This window comes from Homo sapiens, chromosome 8, assembly GCF_000001405.40.
Source record: "Homo sapiens chromosome 8, GRCh38.p14 Primary Assembly".
Classification (NCBI taxonomy): Eukaryota; Metazoa; Chordata; class Mammalia; order Primates; family Hominidae; genus Homo; species Homo sapiens.
Genome location: NC_000008.11, coordinates 33,991,710 through 34,014,862, shown reverse-complemented (window position 1 = coordinate 34,014,862; position 23,153 = coordinate 33,991,710). Strand labels below are relative to the sequence as shown.

Genomic DNA, 23,153 nt, shown 5'->3' with positions numbered 1-23,153 from the left:
ATTAATATCTTGAACGGAGTACTGAACAGTTACAAATAAAACAAACAGAACAGAGTTAGTGCTTTGTGACTCATGATCTTATGACTACGTTACCTAAGAATGAGCAGAAAAATTACAGGATATGTCAAATTTCCCTCTTAAGAACAAAGAAAAATAACTCACCCATGGATGAAATGTAAATTGGACAGGGTTGGTAAAAAAAAAAAATGTATTACACCCTGAGAGTTCTAGATTCACTATACCTGTTACATTTCTAAAAACCCTAGAGCATATCTTTAAAGCCTCCAGAAGATTAGAATCCAGAATATTATAGTTTCAGTTTAGGCCATTTAACAGTCATCATTTATTCTAGAACCATTTATAAAGTGTCCCTACTTTGGGCTGAGCACTGGATTAGAAGCTGTCTCCTACATTACGTCCATTATCCTCACAGCAATACTCACTCTCCAGTAATATAAGATGCCAAGGCCTGTTCACATTCTCAATATCACTTAATCCCCCCAAACACATTGCAATATGGCCAGGATAGGATTACTATATCATCGTGCTCCAAGGAAAATAAAGCTAGAGGCATTAGACAGCTTATCAAAGACAAAAACACTAGTGAGCTATGGAGCTACCCCTCCTCATCACAGTACCTGACTCTGTCTCCTGTTCAATACAGCTATCACACTCAGCTTTTTCATCTGGCACTTCACATGTTTTTTTCAGAGATTCTGTTTAATATATGTTTATAGGTGACTGCATTTGTTTTATTCTATCTTGACAAATCTTCATATGTAAATTTCAACCATTTTTCTATTTGTGGCCTACTCGGTTAACATTAGTGCATAGCTTTGGACCTTCATCTACAAGGTAATATGATAAAAAAAAAAAAAAAAAAAAAGTTTGGAGACTCTCTTTTTTCTTTGTTTACAGCAATGTTTTCTTACATTTTTTTCTAACCCAAGTTTAAAAATTATTTCAAAGAGCTCCTTTACAAGAAAGTAGGCATCTAACACAATGCAAATTTTTAGAAAGTAATCATTTTAATTCTAAGATCTGTCAGTCACTGTTGAGCTAGTAAACTCTTCATTGCTGCATTGCCAGTATATTATCTGAAATAGGTGTAGTCTATTAATCTACTTGGTCTGCCATCACAGAACGCCACAGAAGAGTGGCTTAAGCAACAGAAATTTATTTTCTCACAATTCTAGAGGCTGGAAGTCCAAGAACTTGAAAGTCATCACTCCCATCCTTACAACAAGGAAAATTCTGAACAAACTGAAAATCAACAACCTTATTAGATCTGTCAGAGAATTAAGGCCACAGAAAAACTGCTATCACCAAAACTGAAGATAGAGAGGCAGATACAGAGATTCACAACTTTACAGATCAGAAGCCCAGGAGGAGAAGTGCACAGCAAAAACCATATTGGTGGGAAGATTTTAAATTATAATTGACAAATTACTAGAGGATCAGTATTGAATAGTTTGAGAATTAAAAACTCAGAGGGTGCCCAGTTTCAGGGGGTCCCCAACACTTTTGTGAATTTTACCTCTGGTAGCTCTGTCATTTATTCAGTGATTATAGCTTATAGGTAAGGGAAATGAATGACAGAAACGTTATAAGTGACAGGAGGAAGAAATTAGGAATACTCTGTTTTAAGGTACTTGTACTATCTGTGAGGCATGTGAAAGAAAAATAGAATCTTGGGGCCACAAACTCACTATGCCAAAGGGAAAGTTAACCTTGGGAACTGAGCCGCCAACACTATTTCCCTTTTGTTTTCAAACAGGTAGCTGTAATTTCACATTCCCATGTCACAGCCTCATTTCCTCTACTCCCTCGTTTCACATGTTTACTTTATCTTACATAAAATGTAAATTTACTGAGTGCAAGAAAATGCATAATTGACCAGCTTCTTTTTTCACATGTAAAATGTAGATTCACTGAAGCTCATCAGAGCCTCACTAGAATGTAACCATCTGCCTCACAACCTATACTCCCCTCCCTTTTGTCTCCCTTCTGCTTGCTCTTTTCCCTTTAAATACAAAAGTTCACAAAACCCTCTTTGGAAAAAACATAGATCACAGATGCTCCTGTGATTTGAGTTTTTTCCTGGGCTTCCTCAACCTTGGTTAAATAAACCTCTAATTGATTGAGATACCTGCCTCAGTCACTTTTTTTTTTTTTTTTTTTTTTTTTTTTTTGAGACGAGTCTCCCCCTCTGTTGTCCAGACTGGAGTCCAGTGGCACGATCTCGGCTCACTGCAACCTCCGCCTCCCAGGTTCAAACAATTCTCTGCCTCAGCTTCCCAAGTAGCTGGGATTACAGGCATCCACAACCAGGCCTGGCTAATTTTTTTGGATTTTTAGTAGACACGGGGTTTCACCATCTTGGCCAGGCTGGTCTTGAACTCCTGATCTCATGATCCACCTGCCTCAGCCTCCCAAAGTGCTGGGATTACAGGCGTGAGCCACCATGCCCGGCTCTCAATCACTTTTTGGTTTACAGGGAGTATAGTTATTTGAAAGTGGATTTTGATTGGTCATTAATGTATATTGCAAACTCTAGGGTAACCACTAAAAAATATCTTTTTAAAAAGGAATTATAATATGTTAAGAAAGGAAAGAAATGAAATCATGTAAAATGCTTAAAATCAAGGAAGGAAGAAAATGAGTAGAAGCAAAAAAAAGGACAACAAATAGAAAATACATACAAATATAGTAGACATTATTTCAACTAGATCAATAATCCCTTTAAATGCAAATGTTCAAATACACCAATTAAATGATGGAGATTGTCGGAGTAGATTTTTTTTTAAAAAAAGACTCAACTATATGTTGTCTAAAGGAAACTCATTTTGAAGATCCAGATAGAATAAAAGTAGAGATGAAAAAACATATATCATGCTAACCCTGACCAAATAAAGCTGAACTACATATATTAATTTTGGACAAAGCAAAGTAAGTATGATAAAGGCTCCTATTAGATTATGTTATAGACTTTCATAGAATATTTAGAATCCTAATCTTGAAAATTCTTGTGGGTTTTATATAAAGATTTTTCTCCTAACCCCACTTTGTCCTAATAGAATTTTTTTTTGTCTGCTTACTTAAAAGTATTTTTTAGACTTCAAGTTACAATACAGAAGTCCCAGAGGGTATATACTGATTCCCCAGTATATGGCATGATTCAATTTTTAAACTAGTCGGGTTTATGACTTCAGGAAATTTTCCAAAGCACTTCAATCCTTGTCCTACCTGGTAAGTAGCTAATCTAGGATTAACAAGAAGGAATGGGGTCATACTGCTACCAGGGAGTAGCCATCACATGGCTAGAGTCATTCCCCAGAATCTGAAGTTGGCTCTAAGCTTTTAATCTGGGTACCTCAGTTAACCACATTCAGCTGATGGACAGAAAGTATCAGCTGGTTACAGATAAGTCAGATCAAGGATGGATCCAGGTTTTGTAGGGCCTAAAACCTTTTACAATCTTGAAGGCCCTAAGAAAAATAACACAAAATTTCAAATATAAAACTAGGGTACAAAAATAAATCAGAAAAGGATCATAACAAATACAAATTTTTAAAAGCTGGCAGATGCCACAAACATGACAAATATTCAGAAAATAGCATAACATTTTCACGAATTAACTTTGTGACAAATATCTATGATATTTTCTTCTCATTTTTGACTGCTCATACTTCAATCACCTCTTCATATAGAGTCAAGCATCTCATAACATTTAAATCAACCAGGGACCACGTATATGATGGTGATCCCATAAGATTATAATATCATTTTTACTGTATCTTTTCTAGGCTTAGATATGTTTAAATATACAAATACCATTTTGTTACAATTGCCTACAGTATTCAATACAGTAACAAGCTGTACAGATTTACAGCCTAGGAGCAACAGGCTACACCATATAGCCTAGGTGTATAGTGGCGATATCATCTAGGTTTGTGTAAGCATAATCTATGATGTCCTCACAATAAAGAAATTGCCCAATGACACATTTCTGAGAATGCATCACTGTTGTTAAACAATGCATGATTATAATAATTTTATAAAAATAATTTTCCATTAAGAAGATTTTAAATATCTCACTCAACTTCAGTTGTTTAAGTTTTCCTTTTATTATCAATAGTTTAGAAAAGGCTCAGCATCACAACTCAATATTGGTAGATGTCACATATACATATAGGATTGCCAAAGATAGAAAAACCTTTCTTTTATGTTCATTAATGTGTGTGTGTGTGTGTGTATTTTAATTTTATTTCAATAGTTTTTGATGTACAGGTGGTTTTTTGTTACACGGATAATTTCTTTAGCAGTGATTTCTGAGATTTTTGGTGCACCTGTCACCTGAGCAGTATACACTGTACCCAAAATACAGTCTTTTATCCCTCACCCCCACATCTTCCCCCCAACAAGCTCCCAAAGACTATTGTATCATTCTTATGCCTTTGTATCCTCATAGCTTAGCTCCTAACTTATAAGTGAGAAGATACGAGATTTGGTTGGAAAAACCTCTCTTAAGTTTCTTTCATATCAAAGCTGTAAAATTTCAGAGCAATTAAGTTTTCTTGTATATTTAAATCTTCTTTTAAGTGATAACCCCATAACTAACTACCCTACTCTGGGGGCAGCATAGCTCTGGTAGGAATATTCCTGGAATCCTTTCCTAAACTGGGATGGCTGGCAGTAATTTAACTATCCATGGAACGAACAGATATCACAAAAATGTAGCTAACTAAACACAAACTAAAATGTCCTTAATTCAACTTCTCCTTAGAGAATTCCTTAAAATGTCCAAGGGCCACTGGGGACAGCCGATCACTGGGAAGAAGGGAGTAGGAAATGAACAATGACAATTAAAAGTATTTTTTGCAAATTTTGTAGAACATACACCCCGTGAACACATTGTTAGGCCCCCTCTCAGGGCCTTGGATAGGCCTGAAACTTAAGCTTAATGGTATATCTACCTCTAGATCAGAATTCAGCATAAAGTTGCCTCAAGAAAGCAGAATAATGTGGACATACGTTTCTGTGTGGCCAAGAAGCTGAAGATGACATCGAGGATGTTACTACTTTATATCCACTTACATGGGAATACCTTCAAATCCTTTAAAACACCCAAGTTTACATATTTTTTCTCATTTTTTATTTTCCTATTTATAATCCCTCCAAACTCTTCCCTGTGGAGTCTTACAATCCCCCCACTCCTCTTCACGTTTAGTAGAGTAGAACAATGAGTTTTGTTTTTGTTTTAAATGCAGACTGTTGATTTCCAACTAAGGATGGGGGGAAAGTGAAAACAATGGAAATAAAAGGTCAAAGAATCCCTCAGGTAAGTCACAAAGCTATTTATATATTTTTTCAACTTCATGTCTAAGAATTGGCTGAAAAGTGACAATTCAGAACGGTTGAGTGAGAAAGAATGAAAAAAATCACAATTCTGTGACATAACTCGGGCTCCACACCCCGCCGGTCAATGATTTACAGAATTAGATACCAACCCAGAGAGGGAGAAATTAGCCAAGACTGGCACTGAAAAAGGCAAGACTGCACAGTGAGAGGAAATGGGACAGATAGGACCAATAAAGTAGGAGAATTTCCAGGGATGGTTACAGATCACGACTCCACACTTGGTCACTGCACAGATCCTGGATGAACCACAGGAAGGAAGGGAACAGAAAAAGGCCCAGTTGGAACCCTCTGTGGTGTGAATCAACAGGAAGAAACTCCAGGCACAAGAGTCAAGGCCCTAACTTTCATCTGAAAATGATGCTTTCGTGGAAAAAGAGGCAGCAAAGCAAAAAAACAATCTCCTCTCAAGAATGACTACATTAGCATGCTGACACAAGAACAAATACCCTTGCCACAAAGAAATAAACTACAATGGTGCCTTCCATAGGGATTGGTTCCAGGAACCCCCTTAGATACCAATATCTGCAGATGCTCAAGTCCCTGATATAAAGTGGCATAGTATTTGCACATAACCTATGCACATCCTCCTATAAATCATCTCTAGATTATTAGTAATACCTACTACAATGTAAATACTACGTAAATAGTTCTTATACTGTATTTTTACTTATTTTTGTTTTATCATTTTTTAATTTTTTCTGCCCTCCCACCCCAGAATATTTTTTCTTCTTTGTTGGTTGAATCTGCTGATGCAGAACCCATGGATACAGAGGCCAAGTGTAACTAAAATCCAACGAAAAAATGCCCAACATTTCACTGTTTTTTTTTTTAAGATTGAAAAATAAATTCACCTTCCCCAACCTGTTTTAAAAAATACTTTATATCCTTAAGGAGCTCTGAACTTACATATACACCAGAGATTTCCCATAGATACACAATCTATCATTTACATAGTTTATGAGAAAAAAAGATATTTAATAGTTAAAAAGGCAAGAAAAGAAAGGCAAGATTTAAATGTAGTGGTAACAAATGTTTTTTGTGGTAATAAATGCTTTTTTCTTCCTCCCAGCTTTGTGGAAGTGTGGAGATTCACATTCAAAATGAAGAATTGTTTCGTGAAATAATTTGCAGAGGCTCAATCAAGAGAAATGAAATTACTTAAAGAGCAATTTCAACATAGTGAAAGCCTGCTAGGGAGGTAGATGCAGGTTTCTTAGTCATCAAATGCCATGCTGACCCAGATTCAGGGCAGAGTGAGCACCAAGCATTTTGAAAGCTGATCGAATGGAGAGTCTATTTTAATTTTTTTAAGCTGCCATTTCTTTAAAAAAAAAAAAAAAAGAAAGAAAGAAAGCCCCAGGGCATGCAAAGAGTAAAATATACTGATCATTAAAATATTTAAATTCACCAACAGCAGTGGTTAATAAAACATCAAAATGAAAGTTTACAAAAATTAGTCTCAACTTGTTTAAAGTAGCACACTCACCCAGCCAGCTCATTCTTCTCAACCTCTTTCACTCCTCACCCTCCAAACTTCAGGGGAACACAGTTCCCCAAAGTTTTGGGGAACTTTCCCAAAAAGTTTCCTGCAATTCAACAAAAATGTGTAAGTCACTCCACAAAAGACACTCTAAGGTTAGAAGGATGATCCCATAGAATGTTTGCTCTCTGTAGATATTTAATTAATGATGGACATATTAAACTCTGACTTGTACCATTTATTTGTCTCCAAATTCTATAGAGTAGGGTCATAAACTAGGGAAATGGGCCAAACATAGTCTTCAGGAGAATTTTTGTTTTGTCTCCCCATCTCTTCAAAAAACATTTGAATTATTTACCAATATTTTTCAAACTAAGAGATCTCTCACATACACACACACACACACACACACACTCACACTCACATTAGTTTGGGCTTAATGACTAGAACATAGTGGTAGTTACCTATTAGATAAGGAGCTCAAAAACTCACCATAATCTTAATAGGTTTTTTACACTCAACCACCTCCCTTATTTAAGGAACCAGGCTGGCTCATGCACATATTTTAGTTTGGAAAGCCAACCTAATTGTCCTATAGAACTGATATTTACAGGCTTTTTCTTCCCAATAATAAACATAGAGAGTGTACCTCCCTGGTCTTAAAACTTGAAACTTACATTTGTCTCAGTTGAGCTCTATCCTCAGGAAACTGACCCTCAGGAAAGGAACTGGAACTCACATTACTGCATCTAGTAATGCCTGATCCCTCACCCATCATGACTGCTTCTTTACCCTTCCCTGATTATTGTTTTCCCACCTTCCCTGCTATATAACCGCCCCCCTCCCAAATTTAGTCCACTGGAGAGAAGGTTAGAGATTGTATCTTTTGTTCTCCTTGGCTGCAGCACCAGACTAAAGCCTTCTCTGGCAATACTTTTTGACTCAGTTATGGGCTTTCTATTCTGTGAGCAGCAAGACCTAGACCAAAACCCCTGGCTTTTTAGTAACTTTTGCAACCTGTGCTATAAAGAGGAAACAAAATGCAATGGGAATACACATAATCAACAGGCAAGTGGTGGGCAGGAAAAAAAATGGGCCATCTCATGGAAGAGCAGCACACGAGAAAGACATTGACAGACAGGCAAGATTTTACAGGTAGAAATGATGGAAAATGTCATTCCTAAAGGAGACAACCGCATCAGCCACATGACAAAGATAGGAAAGGGCAAAGAATGGACAGCATGTCTGGTAGCCTGGTATGATTTCATGACCCATATATAAGATGAAAAATAGGAAGGCTGACATGGCAGGCAGCAACCACAGAATGAAATGCCTCAACCACAATTGGTAGTCTAAGTTTTAGAGTATAGAAGCTTTGAAATCAGAGCTGTTCTTTAGGATAACTTTGCTATTAAATTCTAATAACCTGTAAGAACCCTTGAGTTACTGTGACAACTATCCCAAACAGCAGACTCATTATCCTTAATCATATTCTGTGTCCCTTCTGCAGTATGAACTCACCAATAACATCACATTCAACTGACAGTTTAGAACACAAGAAACTGCCTTCCTTCAGGGTGAAGATAGAATATGGATGTGGCAAGGTGTTGAAGATCAGGGTCTTCTTATCAAAGCCTCCCATAGCTATATGCTCTTGGGCATTTTCTGTAAAATATTAATGATAATAACCTTCTTCCTAAGGTCATTGTTACAATTAAATAAAACAAATGGTATAGTATTTTAAAACACTTTGCAAACAACACAATGTAGTGCAAATAGAAGTTATTATTATTATAGACATATGGGGCTGGTCAGATTCTAGCCCCTTTCTAGGGCAGTTCTTTGCCTTCTGTGTTCTGCAATCTACCTCTTACTATCTATCTCTTACTTTCAACCCAAGCCAGGGCCCTTTTATTCTATTAATATGGCCTTTGAAGGGTCGTATTAAATTGGTTCTCGTGATGACATCCCAGTTTTTAGTCCTAATTGTTGTTCTCAAGTGGTGTTTCTGTAATAGAAACACCCATTTTCTGGGGAGAAATTCAAATCTTCCCTGCAAAGACCTACATATTGACTCAAAATCATCCTTTACAAGCTTTGAATATAACTTAAAATGCAGTTTTTCTTTTATCAACATGATGGCTTTATCAGCATAATTATTGATATTAATAATACCAACTTTCTCTAACTTATATTCATATACCCAAAGTAAAATGCTGGGTAAAATTTGTCTAAATAGAAACACTAAAGACCTTAAAAATACAGTGAGATACCTCAGGCCAATTTTGGGGGGAAGAAAGTCTGTAAGAAGAGAGGTAAGGTAAAGATCAGAACACCAGAGCTGCATTTTCCCTTAGGGCAGTTGCTGATACCACAAACACTGTGTTCAAGTAGAGAGCATTAGCCACATGTGGCTAGAGATTTAGAGTTCAAGGGTGATATGGTTTGGCTGTGTCCCCAACCAAATCTCATCTTGAATTATAGTTCCCATAATCCCCATATGTCGTGAGAGGGACTCAGTGGGAGGTAATTGAATCATGAGGGCAGTTACCCTTATGCTGTTCTTGTGAGTGAGTTCTCAGGACATCTGATAGTTTTATGAAGGGCTTTTCCCTCTTTGCTCAGCACTTCTCCTTGCTGCTGCCATATGAAGAAGGATGTGTTTGCTTCCCCATCTGCCATGATTGTAAGTTTCCTGAGGCCTCTCCAGCCATGCTGAACTGTGAGTCAATTAAACTTCTTTCCTTTATTAATTACCCAGTCTTGGGTATATCTTTATTAGCAGTGTATGAAGAGATTAATACAGTAAATTGGTACTGGTAGAGTAGGGGGCTGCTGTAAAGATAACCAAAAATATGGAAGCAACTTTGGAACTAGGTAACAGGCAGAGGTTGGAGCAGTCTGGTAGACTCAGAAGAAGACAGAAAAATGTGAGAAAGTTTGGAACTTTCTAGAGACTTGGAAGGTTCAGAAGACAGGAATATGTGGGAAAGTTTGAAACTTCCTAAAGACTTGTTAAATAGCGTTGACCAAAATGCTGACAGTGAAATGGACAATAAAGTCCAGGCTGAGGTGCTCTTAGATGGGAGATGAAGAGCTTTTTGGGAACTAGAGTAAAGGTCACTCTTGCTATGCAAAGAGACTAGCAGCATTTTGCCCCTGCCCTAGAGATCTGTGGAACTTTGAACTTGAGAGAGATGATTTAGGGTATCTGGTAGAAGAAATTTCTAAGCAGCAAAATGTTCAAGAGGAAGTAGAGCATAAAAGTTTGAAAATTTTGCAGGCTGACAAGGTAGTAGAAAAGAAACACCCATTTTCTGGGGAGAAATTCAAGCCAGCAGTAAAAATTTGCAAAAGTAATGAGGGACCAAATGTTAATTTCCAAGAAAATGGGGAAAATGTCTCTAGAGCATTTTGGAAATCTTCCTGGCAGCTCCTCCCATCACAGGCCTGGAGGCCTAGGAGGGAAAAATGGTTTCCTGGGAAGGATCCAGGGACCTCTGCCATGTGCAGCCTCAGGACTTGGTGCCCTGCATCTGAGGTGCTCCATCTGTGGCTAAAAGGGACCAAGGCACAACTTGAGCCGTGGCTTCAGAGGTTACAAGCCCCAAGACTTGGTGGCTTCCATGTGGTGTTTAGTCTGCAGGTGCACAGAAGTCAAAAACTGAGGTTTGGGAACCTCCGCCTAGAGTTGAGAGGATATATGGAAATGCCTGGATGTTCAGGAAAAAGTTTGCTGCATGGACAGAGTCCTCATGAAGAACCTCTGCTAGGGCAGTGTAGAAGGGAAATGTAGGGTGGGAGCCCCCATACAGAGTCCCCACTGGGGCACTGTATAGTGGAGTTGTGAGAAGAGGGTCATTGTCTTCCAGACCCCCAAATGGTAGATCCACCAACAGCTTATACTGTGCACCTGGAAAAGCCATAGATACTCAACACCAGCTGTGAAAGCAACTGGGGTAAGGGGGCTGTACTCTACAATGCCACAGGGGTAGAGCTGCTGCTCAAGGCTGTGGGAGCCCACCCATTGCATCAATGTGCCCTGGATATGAGACATGGAGTCAAAGGAGATCATTTTAGAACTCTAAGGTTCAATGACGGCCTTATTGGATTTTGGACTTGCATGAGCCCTATAAGGCCCTTTGTTTTGGCAAATTTCTCTCACTTGGAATGGCTATATTTACCCAATGCCTATACCACCATTGTATCTAGGAAGTAACTAACTTGCTTTTGATTTTACAGACTCATAGGTAGAAGGTACTTGCCTTGCCTCAGATGAGACTTTGGACTTGGACTTTTGAGTTAATGCTGGAATTAGTTAAGACTTTGAAGTATTGTTGAAAGGGTGTGATTCTGTTTTGAAATGAGAGGACATGAGGTTTGGGAGGGGCCGGGGTGGCATGATATGGTTTGGCCGTGTCCCCAACCAAATCTTGAACTGTGGTTCCCATAATCCCCACATCATGGGAGGGACCCAGTGGGAGGTAATTTAATCACGAGGGTGGTTACCCTCATGCTGTTCTTGTGATAGTGAGTTCTCACAAGATCTAACGGTTTTATAAAGGACTTCCCCCTTTGCTTGGCTCTCATTCTTCTACTTGTTGCTGCCACGTGAAGAAGGGTGTGTTTGCTTCCCCTTCCACATGATTGTAAGTTTCCTGAGACCTCCCCAGCCATGCTGAACTGTGAGTCCGTTAAACCTCTTTCCTTTACAAATTACCCACTCTCGGGTGTATCTTTATTAGCAGCATGAGAACACAGTAATACAAGAGGAGCTTTGTGAAACCATCCTGATAGAGAGCTGGGGCCCCAGGTGTCACTCTATCAAGGTAAGGGTAAACTAGCTCTAAACAGTTCCTCTTCTTTCCCCAACCAGTGAAAATTCAGAGAGGGCTGCCTCCGTGGCAGACCAGAAATGGAGAAGAAAAGTGAAAGGCAAACATAAATCATACCTAGTAGCTGCCCACTTGCCCTTAAGAGGTGTTCAATGGGCCGGGTGTGTTCGCTCACGCCTATAATCCCAGCACTTTGAGAGGCCGAGGCAGGCAGATCATCTGAAGTTGGGAGTTCATGACCAGCCTGACCAACATGGAGAAACCCCGTCTCTCCTAAAAATACAAAATTAGCTGGGCGTGGTGGCACATGCCTGTAATCCCAGGTATTCAGGAAGGCTGAGGCAGGAGAATGATTTGAACCCAGGAGGCAGAGGTTGCAGTGAGCCGAGATTGTGCCACTGCACTCCAGCCTAGACAATAAGAGTGAAACTCGGTCTGAAAAAAAAATAAAATAAAAAATAAATAAAAAATAAAGGGTGTTCAATGATCCTGGGTATCCTATGCATAGGCTGCATGGGCAAGAGACTCTTCAACCCTGAATTGGTCCACAGCAGTTCATTCTGGAGATGTCTATCAATGTCTAGCAGAAACAAACACAAAGCTTCTCTATTCTCACAAATAATTTTTCAAGAATATCCAGGGGCTGTCATATATTACCATTTACACAAGAAAACAAGACTGCACAAGCATGAATAAAGCCACAGACAGAAAAAAACAGACCTACAATGATTTCATATATTTGAACTATCAGTCTAATAGGGGATGACAAGCATGCACACAACTAAAATTCAAAATAGAACAACATTCAAAATGAGAGAAGAATGGAGTGTCACTAAGAATACGTGAATATTGCCTTGCATGCAGGAGGGTTCAGCGTTATAGTTAAAGCTCTGCCATTTGCAATATTTCAGGAAAAGCAGGAGGCTAAGAAGCCATCTGGCATTTAAAATACAGCATTGAGCCAGGTGGAGCCATGGGAAAGGGTTATAACCTTGTCACTTGCTAGTGTTACATCTTTGAGTCACAGTTTTCTCATCTGAAAAAGGGACAATGACTATTTCAAATAAAAATATGAAACTTAAATCAGTCAGCTCATGTAAAAACCTGACATATTGCCAGTGTTTAATAACATCAGCTCGTTTAGTAGAATTGTTCGGGCAAGAGTAAAATCACAGGGATCTTACTGCTATAACATAGGATGCTGTTTTAAAAAGTAGGGCAAAATAGATTTTCCTACCCAACCATAAAATCTCACCCAACTTCTGTAGCCTAAAAAGGGCACACTCAAGCCAGCAGCCAAGTTATAAGGGAAACACAGGAAAATATTTTAGCTCCCAAATGCAGATCTCAGAAACTCAGCACAGACCAATTTCCTGTTGTATAGCATTAGATCTGAAGAAAAAAAAACAGTCTATAGGAAGGATAATCTGAAGCTATCCCAGCAAGACTAAAGTCTCTTGCAATTTCAAATGGCCAAGAAACTTACAAAGCACAGAGACAAGAGTAATCCAAACTGATTATCCCAGGGGCCCCTGTTCTTTTGGAGACCAGGTCCTCTTCCCAACTGTAGTACCCAATCAAGTAAGCAGAGTCAACATGGCTACAGGGTTCTTTACACCTGTGGTCACCATCTACATGATGAGAAAGAGTGAGCTACAATCAAGGTAACAGAGACTGAGCCATTTCTAGCTGGTGCCCTTATAAATATGCTTCAGTTGTCCAGAATAATTGCTTCCAATAAAGGCCAAGCAGACAATTCTGACAGGGATGTCCTTATGAGTTTTTGCTGCTTGTAAACCTGTCAGAATAGACGCCTCCTTGTATTTCCATCTTTCAACCAAGCTAACAAGTCAGGTTATCTTTTAGGAAATCATTTCATATGTTTTATTCAAAGCCAAGTTTGAAAGCTAGATGAACCCCCAGTGACTGATGGTTTTAATTAGACTGGTTTCATGATTTCCTTCCATGACACAGGGATTCACCATCTCTTTTACAGCTCTCTCTCACCCAAAACTACTTCTCCTTTTGTATTCCCTAACTTGTTAAAAGCTAACACTATTTATCTGGTGGTGCTGGAACCTGAGAGTTATCTTCTAATAGTTCCTGTTCTAAAATACCCACAACTAACTGGCTACCTCTCCTAACAACACTACTTTCTAAAAGTCTCTAATCTGTGACTTTATTTTCATTTGCATGATCACTGCCCATTCAGGCTCTCAGCAGTGCTCACCTGGAATAAATACAAAAACGTCAGCTGGGCACGGTGGCTCACACCTGTAATCCCAGCACTTTGGGAGGCTGAGGTGGGCAGATCACCTGAGGTTGGGAGTTCAAGACCAGCCTGACCAACATGGAGAAACCCCATCTCTACTAAAAATACAAAAAAAAAAAAAAAATAGCCAGGCATGGTGGCACATGCCTGTAATCCCAGCTATTTGGGAGGCTGAGGCAGGAGAATCACTTGAACCCAGGAGGCGGAGGTTGCAGTGAGCCAAGATCATGCCATTGCACTCCAGCCTGGGTAACAAGAGCGAAACTCTGTCTCAAAAAAAAAAAAATCTCACTAGTGTCCCACCCTTCAGCCTCACCCTATTAGAACCACCACCTTCCTCCCAAAAAAACTGATCATTAGAAAATGCAGATTTGATCAAGTCACTCTATTTTTTGATATAATTCACTGGATCACTATTACATCTAAGAAGTAATCCAAGCTCTTCAGTATTTTAGCCAAGACCTTGCACCCTATCATTCTGTCTTTGCAGATCCTACAGGTGTTCAGGCTATAAAGAACCACTTGCCAATCAGTGATGATGCCAAGATCTGTCACCCCCCAAATCTGTGTGGTTCGTCTCCTTGGAAAGCTTTTCTACATATCCTCCTTCTCATTCTCCACTAATTCATCTGGTTAATATCTACCCATCTTTCATAACTCAACTCAAACATCAAATCATTAGAATGCTTTTTGCCATTTCCCTTTCACACTCAGGTAGAATTGATTTGAAAGCTAGATGAGCTCCCAAGGACCTACTGTTTCAATTAGGCATTATGTTTTTTTATTCTATAACCAAGTGTTTGTCAACCTCAGTACTATTGACATTTGAGGCTGGATAATTCTTTGCCATAGGGCACCGTTCTGTAGGATGTTTAGCAAATTTCCTGGCCTCTACCCATTAGTTGCCAGTACCACAGTTCCCCAGTTCTGACAACCAAAACTGTCTCCGGACACTGCCAAATGTCCTCTATGGGGCAAGTCAATCCTTGTTGAAAATCACTGCTAGAGTACTATATTAACATCATTTCACAGCTCTGTTTTGTAGCATATTTGACCATTTCACCACTGAAAAGAATTTTTTTTTTTTTTTTTTTTTTTTTTTTTTTTTTTTTGAGACGGAGTCTCGCTCTGTCGCCCAGGTCGGACTGCGGACTGCAGTGGCGCAATCTCGGCTCACTGCAAGCTCCGCTTCCCGGGTTCACGCCATTCTCCTGCCTCAGCCTCCCGAGTAGCTGGGACTACAGGCGCCCGCCACCGCGCCCAGCTAATTTTTTGTATTTTTAGTAGAGACGGGGTTTCACCTTGTTAGCCAGGATGGTCTCGATCTCCTGACCTCATGATCCACCCGCCTCGGCCTCCCAAAGTGCTGGGATTACAGGTGTGAGCCACCGCGCCCGGCCCACTGAAAAGAATTTTTGTTGGCAGAAGCTATCTTTTTCTCATCAGTGTAATCCAGTGCCTACAACAGTGTCCATCACATAAAAGATGAGTGATAAATATTTATTGAATGAATAAAAGTAAATGAATTATCAAACATTAAGTAAGCATCATGTGGAATGGCTCTACATTCTCAAACATACTTCCAGGAAATCCCAGGGTATAAAACATGCCATTATGTGTCAAGAAAATAGTCTGTAACTGAGAATTCTCAGCTTTTAGAATTACATATAGAATCAAAATGGATTTTAGGAATGAATGAGTTCCACCACAAATTTAAGAGGCACACACAGATAAAGTGACTTTGCATATGCCACACAGCATATATGCAATAGAAAGTCATCCTGAGGCCAGGCACAGTGGCTCACACCTGTAATCCCAGCACACTGTGAGGCTGAGGCAGGTGGATCACCTGAGATCAGGAGTTTGAGACCAGCCTGGCCAACATGGTAAAACCCCATCTCTGCTAAAAATACACAAAATTAGCTGGGCGTGGTGGCAGGCACCTGTAACCCCAGCTACTTGGGAAGCTGAGCCAGGACGCAGAGGTCGCAGTGAGCTGAGATCACACCATTGCACTCCAGCCTGGGCAACAAGAGTGAAACTCCATTAAAAAAAAAAAAAAAAGAAAAAAAAAAAAGAAAAGAAAGAAAGAAAGTCATCCTGTAGCAGTTCTCTTTAATCTATCCTGACAGTGTAGCTGAGACTTCTGTATGATAATTTTGAGATGTTTTATCTTGCATAAAACCTTAGCTGATACATTGAGGCCTATCACTTTTCACTGGTAACTCTACAAGCTATTTATAATAGCCCCATTCCAAACCATCTTCTCCCAAGCTCTTTGCCCCAGCAGCATGTTCTGGTTTCAACATAATACTCAACGATACTGGAGATGAGAGGCAGGCTCTGAATATGACACTTCAAGACACTGGTACTCAGCCAGAGGAAAATAAGCCAATCTAAACAAAGCTGTAAAATGCCCATTAGACTGGAGATTTCTACCCCCACATCCATAACAATGATATTCTGCCCTGAGCAGCTCACTTATCACTGCATGCTGTAAGAGCAGCTCCATTTCTGCCCTTCTAGTACCCAGCACTGCAAACCAAAGCCAAGCTGTAAGAGTGATATACTTTTAAACTTCAAATGGACAGGTAGAACCATTAGGCATTTTCAAGACCATACAATTCATATTCTGATAGCCATGGGGATGAGGTAACCTTAGTATTCACAAAGTGCTGAGAACAGAGCCGCTTAACTGAGAGAGTGGCCCGCTGAACAGTGACCTCTTTTATTTCATCCTCTGGTATAAAAGCATCCTACCCAGTGTGCTAGCAAAAAAGACGGAGATTGTCTTTCATTTTTGCTTATACAAGCTCCCTGAAATGAAAGGAGAGGGGATTTTGTTACCTAGAGGGCTTGACTGCAATTAGGTAATATATTTCCTCCTCTTCATTTCTGGGAGACAGAAAAAAAAATTAAGGCTGTAGAAGTCCATGTGCTTTTTGAAAGAAGATAACATAAGGAAGTACGGAGCTCAAGGAGATTTCCAGACATTGCTTGGGTTAGTGATGATGAAGATAAAAGCAGGTGATGCAGAACTTTTCAAATCACCTGGATTTTGTTCAATTCCTGAAACAGGCTTCAAGGCCTAGCTGAGGCGAAGCTGCCTTCATCAGAACTCCAGAAAGGTCTGAAAAAAATTCACCAATTGCTATTGCAGTCATTTTACCAATAAAGAGTCAAATAGAACTCGGAAACATGCATGGCACCGTATTTCCAAAACACTTCCTTTGCTCAAACACTTCCCATTCTCCTAACATTAACCCTTGATGTTCTAAAGCCAGCTCTAATTGAAGTGAGAACCCCATCTGTGATGCATTAGTATGTAACACATCTTCATAACTTTGTATTTGAAAAATCCTTGGAACCATGTGTCTTTAGAGGCAATCCTACTGATGCAGGAAATTAACACCTTAAAGATGCTCATATAGGTAGACAAAGTTCTCTTAGACGTTCTTCTTCTTTGGATTTGTCACGCATTTATCATTCTATTTTCAGCTCTCTTTCCTTGACGGGCTTCTTCTAATGCTCATATTCTTGCTAAAATGAAGACAACAAATTGTGATGTGTGCTTGTTATATAACTGGATATATAAGATCCTTCAGTAGCATGTCTGATTTAAGCTCAGATCTTAAAGAATTACAAAGCTCAGGTAATTATGTTTTGCAATGCCCGTGAGAAAGGAGTTACTAACCTTGTTCTAGGGCTTGGGATCTGAAGAGCAGCAATTCTTTGTTTGTATGCTTGCAAGGATTTTATTTATTGTTTATGTACTAACAGTGTGTAAATAGTCATAAATTATTATTTCCCTCTTATCTTTAGCAAGATTATTTCCTTTTTTCCAAAGTGATCCTAAGTATTACTTTAGAGTTCATATTATCTACATCTCTAAATGGCATTTATGATATTAACATGTTGAATATGCCACACAGCATATATGCAATAGAAAGTCATCCTGAGTCTCCCACTGACCTTGACGAAGCTACTTGCTTACTACCTTAATAATTTATTTGTATATAAGGTAATGGATGCCTCGTTCTTTAGAAATCTCCATTATAGGACATGACTATCTTTGCTTTAATGGAGAATTTCAAATCTTAGCTACAGATACAAGCAGAATGAGAGAAGTTTTGAGACAGAGCAAGGTCAGGAGTTCAATTTAACTTATCAAGGGTCTCCTTCTCCAACTTTGCTTCCTCTTTCAGCCCTCATCTCTTCCAACTCCAAATATTCCCAGGACCTCTGTTATTATCTATCCACTGGTAAATACCAAATGTATATCTCAAGCCCAGATCTCTTGCTTTTAAATACAAGCTTCTCCATCACCAACAGGTACTTCAAACTTAGCATATGTAAAACTAAATTCATCTGCCCTTTGGCTTACAGACGTTCTGTGCTCTGTAGCTCAGGGAAGGACATATTATTCCAGTCCATTGTCCAAAGAAGACAGAAAGTCATCTTTAATTCATTCTCTCCCTCACTCCACACCCAACCAATCACAAGTCAATTCTCCCTCTTAGGCATTTCTCAAATATGTCCTCTGTTTCTACTGCCATTATTTAAGTTCAAACCACCATCATCTCTTGCGTTGCATGCGAACTGGTTTCCCTTCCTTCACCCTGACCACTTCTAATTCAGCCTTCACATTATTTCCAGGGCAGTCTTCCTAAAAGGCAAATCTAATCTACCTTTGCTTTGCTTCAAACTCAATTACTCCCCTTGCTCTCTCGATAAAGTTTAACAATTTGGCCCTCATTTTCCCTCCCTCCCTCAAGCATCATCACCCCCCATTTTTAACTCCATGCCCCAAACATATTGTACAACTTGTAGTTCACCAAAAGGCCATACTTCCTCTTTCTCAGGGCCACTGACAACTGCTCCCTTTACCTAGAAAGCACTCTCTTGCTGCCCTCTCCCTTACCTAGACAATGACAAATCATTCTTCAGGTGTCCACTCGAGCTTTATCTCCTACAAAGGCATTTCCAGGCCACCAATTTTCCCTTCCACCCTTACCTCCAGAGCTGGATGATCTAGCGTCCCTCTGGAGTCTACTCCATTGCAGCATTTTTCACTGTCTAATAACAATTTAGGGAAAGCTCATTATGTGCCAAACCCTGAGCTGATGCCTACATGAGTTATATCAGAGGTTCCCAACTAAAGGCTTATGGGCCAAATATAACATACAGGTATTTTCTTTGAGTTAAAAGGATTTAATATTAAACGTAAATTTTTTAATCAGGATATTTCTGACAAAACACTCCTAGATTTACAGCATTAAAAAAAAAAAAACTATCAAATCTGGTAGCCCTGAATTCACATTTCTGAACACACCAACACTAAGACACACCTGAATCATGACTACTCCTCTTAGTGGCTGTATTAGTTTGCTAGGGCTTCCATAACTAAAACCACAGACTGGGTGTCTTAAACTATAGAAATTTACTTTCTCACAGTTTTAGAGGCTGGGACTACAAGATCAAGGCGTCAGCAGGTTTGGTTTCTTCTGAGGCTTACTCTTATTGGCTTGTAGATGGCTGCCTTCTCACAGTATCCTCACATTGTCTCAAAAAATAAATAAATAAATAAAAGACAGAGTCTCACTCTGTCACAGCCTGGAGTGCAGTGGCACGATCTCGGCTCACTGCAACCTCCATCTCCCAGGTTCAAGCGATTCTTCTGCCTCAGCCTCCCAAGTAGCTGGGACTACAGTTACACGCCACTATGCCCAGCTAATTTTTGTATTTTTAGTAGAGACCAGGTTTCACCATGTTGGCCAGGATGGTCTCAGTCTCTTGACCTCATGATCTACCTGCTTCAGCCTGCCAGTGTGCTGGGATTACAGGCATACGCCACCACACCCAGCTACATTGTCTTTCATCTGTGCACACACATGCATCCCTGGTGTCTGTGTGTTCAAATTTCCCTTTCTTATAAGGACAGCAATCAGATGAAATTGGGGCGTTATCCTCTCACTTTTATTTGTCAAACCTTCTGTGAAATTCTTTCACTCTTTGTTGAAGCAAGTTCTCTGACTCCAAGTCCTAAGCTCCTAATAAATTACACTACCTTTCATCATGCTGTTTGAATAGTTTTATATTTGTCTACTCCTAAATTTGAGTATCCCTTAAAAACAGGGACTTGCCCTTATTCATCACAGTAGCCTTAGGACCACAATGAAGCTTCAATGGTAAAGACAGAAAGCTCTGGGACAAGATCGCTAGAGTCTGAATCATGGCTCTCCTCCCTCCTAACTGGTGGCTTTTGATAACTTATTTAATTTTTTTGTATTTCCTCTATAAAATGGGGATAATAATAATGCCTATCTTCGATGGTGGTTGAGAGAATGGCATGAGTTAACGTATACGAAATACTCAAAACCTAACACATAGTAGTTTCCCAATAGATATCGGCTAGTATTAGTGTTGTAAGGGCCTCTTGTAGAACTGCATCCATTCGTTTAATAAATATTTATTGAACACATACTACAAGCCAGCCACTCCACTGAGCATAAAAATCATAAATAAAACAAATTAAAAAATTGAGAGAGAGGCCAGGCACAGTGGCCCATGCCTATAATCCCAGCACTTTGGGAGGCTGAGGTCAGTGGATCACCTGAGCTCAGGAGTTTGAGACCACCCTGGCCAACATGATGAAACCCCGTCTGTAATAAAAATACAAGAATTTGTCAGGCGTGGTGGCAGGCACCTGTAATCCCAGCTACTCAGGAGGCTGAGGCAGGAGAATTGCTTGAACCCAGGAGGTAGAGGTTGTAGTGACCTGAGATCATGCCACTGCATTCCAGCCTGTCCAGCCTGGGCAATAGAGGGAGACTCCATCTAAAAAAACAAAAAACAAAACAAAAAAAAAAGGACCCTAATGGCAGCTTTGAGTTCAAAAAGCCATGCTTCAAAATATTCACTGAAGCTCCAAAAAGTATTTTCCATATACCTATGGCCCTTAAAACTACCTCAATCACTCACTCATCCTAACCTCAGCATTTGAAAAAAAAAATTGGGACATCCCCTCCAACTTCCCACACCAGGTAGTTCTAAATTTGAATAATTTCTACATAAATTTTTCTTTAGTAAGTCAATGGTACTGTGATGTCAACTTTCTCCTCTCTGGTCTATTTCTAAATAAGGATTCTCAACTCTTTCATATAAATGATTCACCTTTTGCCCATGCAGTTGTTTTTTACTGATGGATCAGGCAAAACAAAAGGCTATGCCCAAAACAAAAGGTGTGAGAATTTCCCATCATTAGCTTGCCTTATGCCTAATCTTAGCCTAGAAATCCTGTTTTTCCTACCAAACTAGAAGTGTCTACTGGGACTAAGTTTCACAACTCTGAGCTGTGACTTCAGCTGACAATCAGATTTTTATCTGGGCCACGTGTTCAGTTGGTTAGAACATGCTGATGGTGAAGCCAAAAGCCAATTCCTGTAGGAACCAGAGCGTTCACCCAGAAAGATCCCTGATGGCATCCTGTCCCCAGCCAGCCATCTCAAATGCCTGCTCCTGGGATCAGAAAGGAGATCAGTGTTGAAGTGAAGCACACTCTCTAAAAAAACAGAAAGCACTAGCTGTGCCATCTTAGTCAGCAATCATAGTAACTATCACTTACGGCAAATTCACTTTGTGCCAGCAACTATGCTAAATGCTTTTCATATATTATTTTATCTTCACAATGCTATGAGGTATTATACTAACTTAAATTTGAGAAAACCAAGACAAGTAATATGCCCAAGGTCACAGCGGCAGAGTGGAGAGTTTATCCCACGTTGGACTTAAGACTCCAGAGCCTGCGTGGCTCACTCCCAACACACTCTGCAATATTGGCACCATAAGGAGGTAGAAAACAAGGCGATCTAGGGTCTTGTCCATTCAGTCTCGGGCATGACAAATTGATTCTGCTATGGGAATACATGAGGATGCCATTGCTTTTGAAATTTTACACAAACCACTCTTTCAGTCTTGATGTCTCTGATCTCATCTTTTCTTCCACATGTAGGTTCTTAATATTATTTTAGGCTTTCTCTGCTTGAAGAACTGGCTGGACATGTTCCCTATTTCAATCTGATATTCTCCCTTTATCTCCACTTCCAGCCAGCCTGGGTCTTTCCTGCATGTTTCACAATCCCATCCTGAGAAGAGATTGGAAAAGTCAATTTTTCTAAATATCAGTTAACTTATCTACTGAGTAAGGGATTTGAACTATATTACCTCTAATGCACCTTTGAGCTCTTATGAATTATCACTCATAAAATGATTAGCAGAATTTTTACTGGAAAAAAGTCTTCCCTTCACTAGAGAGAAGCACACACTCCGAGCCCAGCTCCCAGCTTTTACTTGATCACAGCAGTTGTATAATTGCATACCCACCTGTGAAGCACACAGTGAAAATGAAATTCTAAAAAAAAAAAAAAAAAAAAAAAAGACATCTTAATCCACCAGGATCACTGTCTCTGTTAACCCAAATTGTAAAAACAAACCCTATTGCTATTCTTTAAGATGACTTCTGTCCTGAATGAGCACTCCCTAGGAAGATAAAATGGAATAAAAAATAATGAGGGGAGAGAATCAATTTGGAGCAATTCTACTGTTACATAATTGTATTTAACTAATTTTTTTCTACTCATTATTGCACCTTCAACTCAAAGTTTTCATGCTGAAACAGGAAAAATGCTAGAAAGGATTAATTTCCCCTTGTTCTATTATTGCAGCAATTCTCAACTTGTTATTCTGGATGTCTCAAGAGAGGCAGTATGTTCCAACCATAATCAAGTAAATATAGAATTTGTTGGGGGGTAGGGGGTGTGAGGATATCCACTGTCTGCATAGAGTTCCACCTCACACGTTACTCTAAACTTCAAGTGCATTCTGGGGTCCTATATCTATAAAAGATATCAGAGAGACCTAGAGTCCCCTTGGGAGTGTCTGCACACTTTCCTGCAGACAGGACCTATACCTACCTATTCCTCCAAAATATCTTACAACACGAGTAACAGAAAAACAGCAGATTTATCACTTATCAGCTGAGTGAACGTGTCCAAGGGATGTGCCACCCTGAGCTTAAGTATGTCTTTAGAATGGGAATGATGATAATAAATGTCTCACAGGCTTGGTGTGGGAATCAAATGAGATC

At 39.5% G+C, this 23,153-nt stretch overlaps 1 long non-coding RNA gene across 5 annotated transcripts in view, besides 1 other annotated feature; it reads right to left on the bottom strand.

The window, feature by feature from the left end:
* The window catches only part of LOC105379364 (uncharacterized), a 535,736-nt gene that overhangs the window by 243,255 nt on the left and 269,328 nt on the right, over positions 1–23,153 (bottom strand). For 3 of the 5 annotated variants that reach the window (NR_189606.1, NR_189608.1, NR_189609.1), the window contains exon 3: positions 6,908–7,007. The exons of the other annotated variants lie outside the window; for them this stretch is intronic. This is a non-coding gene — a long non-coding RNA (uncharacterized LOC105379364). The remainder of the gene's footprint in view (positions 1–6,907; positions 7,008–23,153) is intronic. 5 annotated transcript variants of the gene reach the window in all.
* Positions 5–205: a silencer, noted in NCBI's record as "peak6990 fragment used in MPRA reporter construct". NCBI's record gives its function as "represses an SCP1 promoter by STARR-seq MPRAs in K562 erythroleukemia cells {active_cell/tissue: K562}" and the evidence as "EXISTENCE:reporter gene assay evidence [ECO:0000049][PMID:32103011]".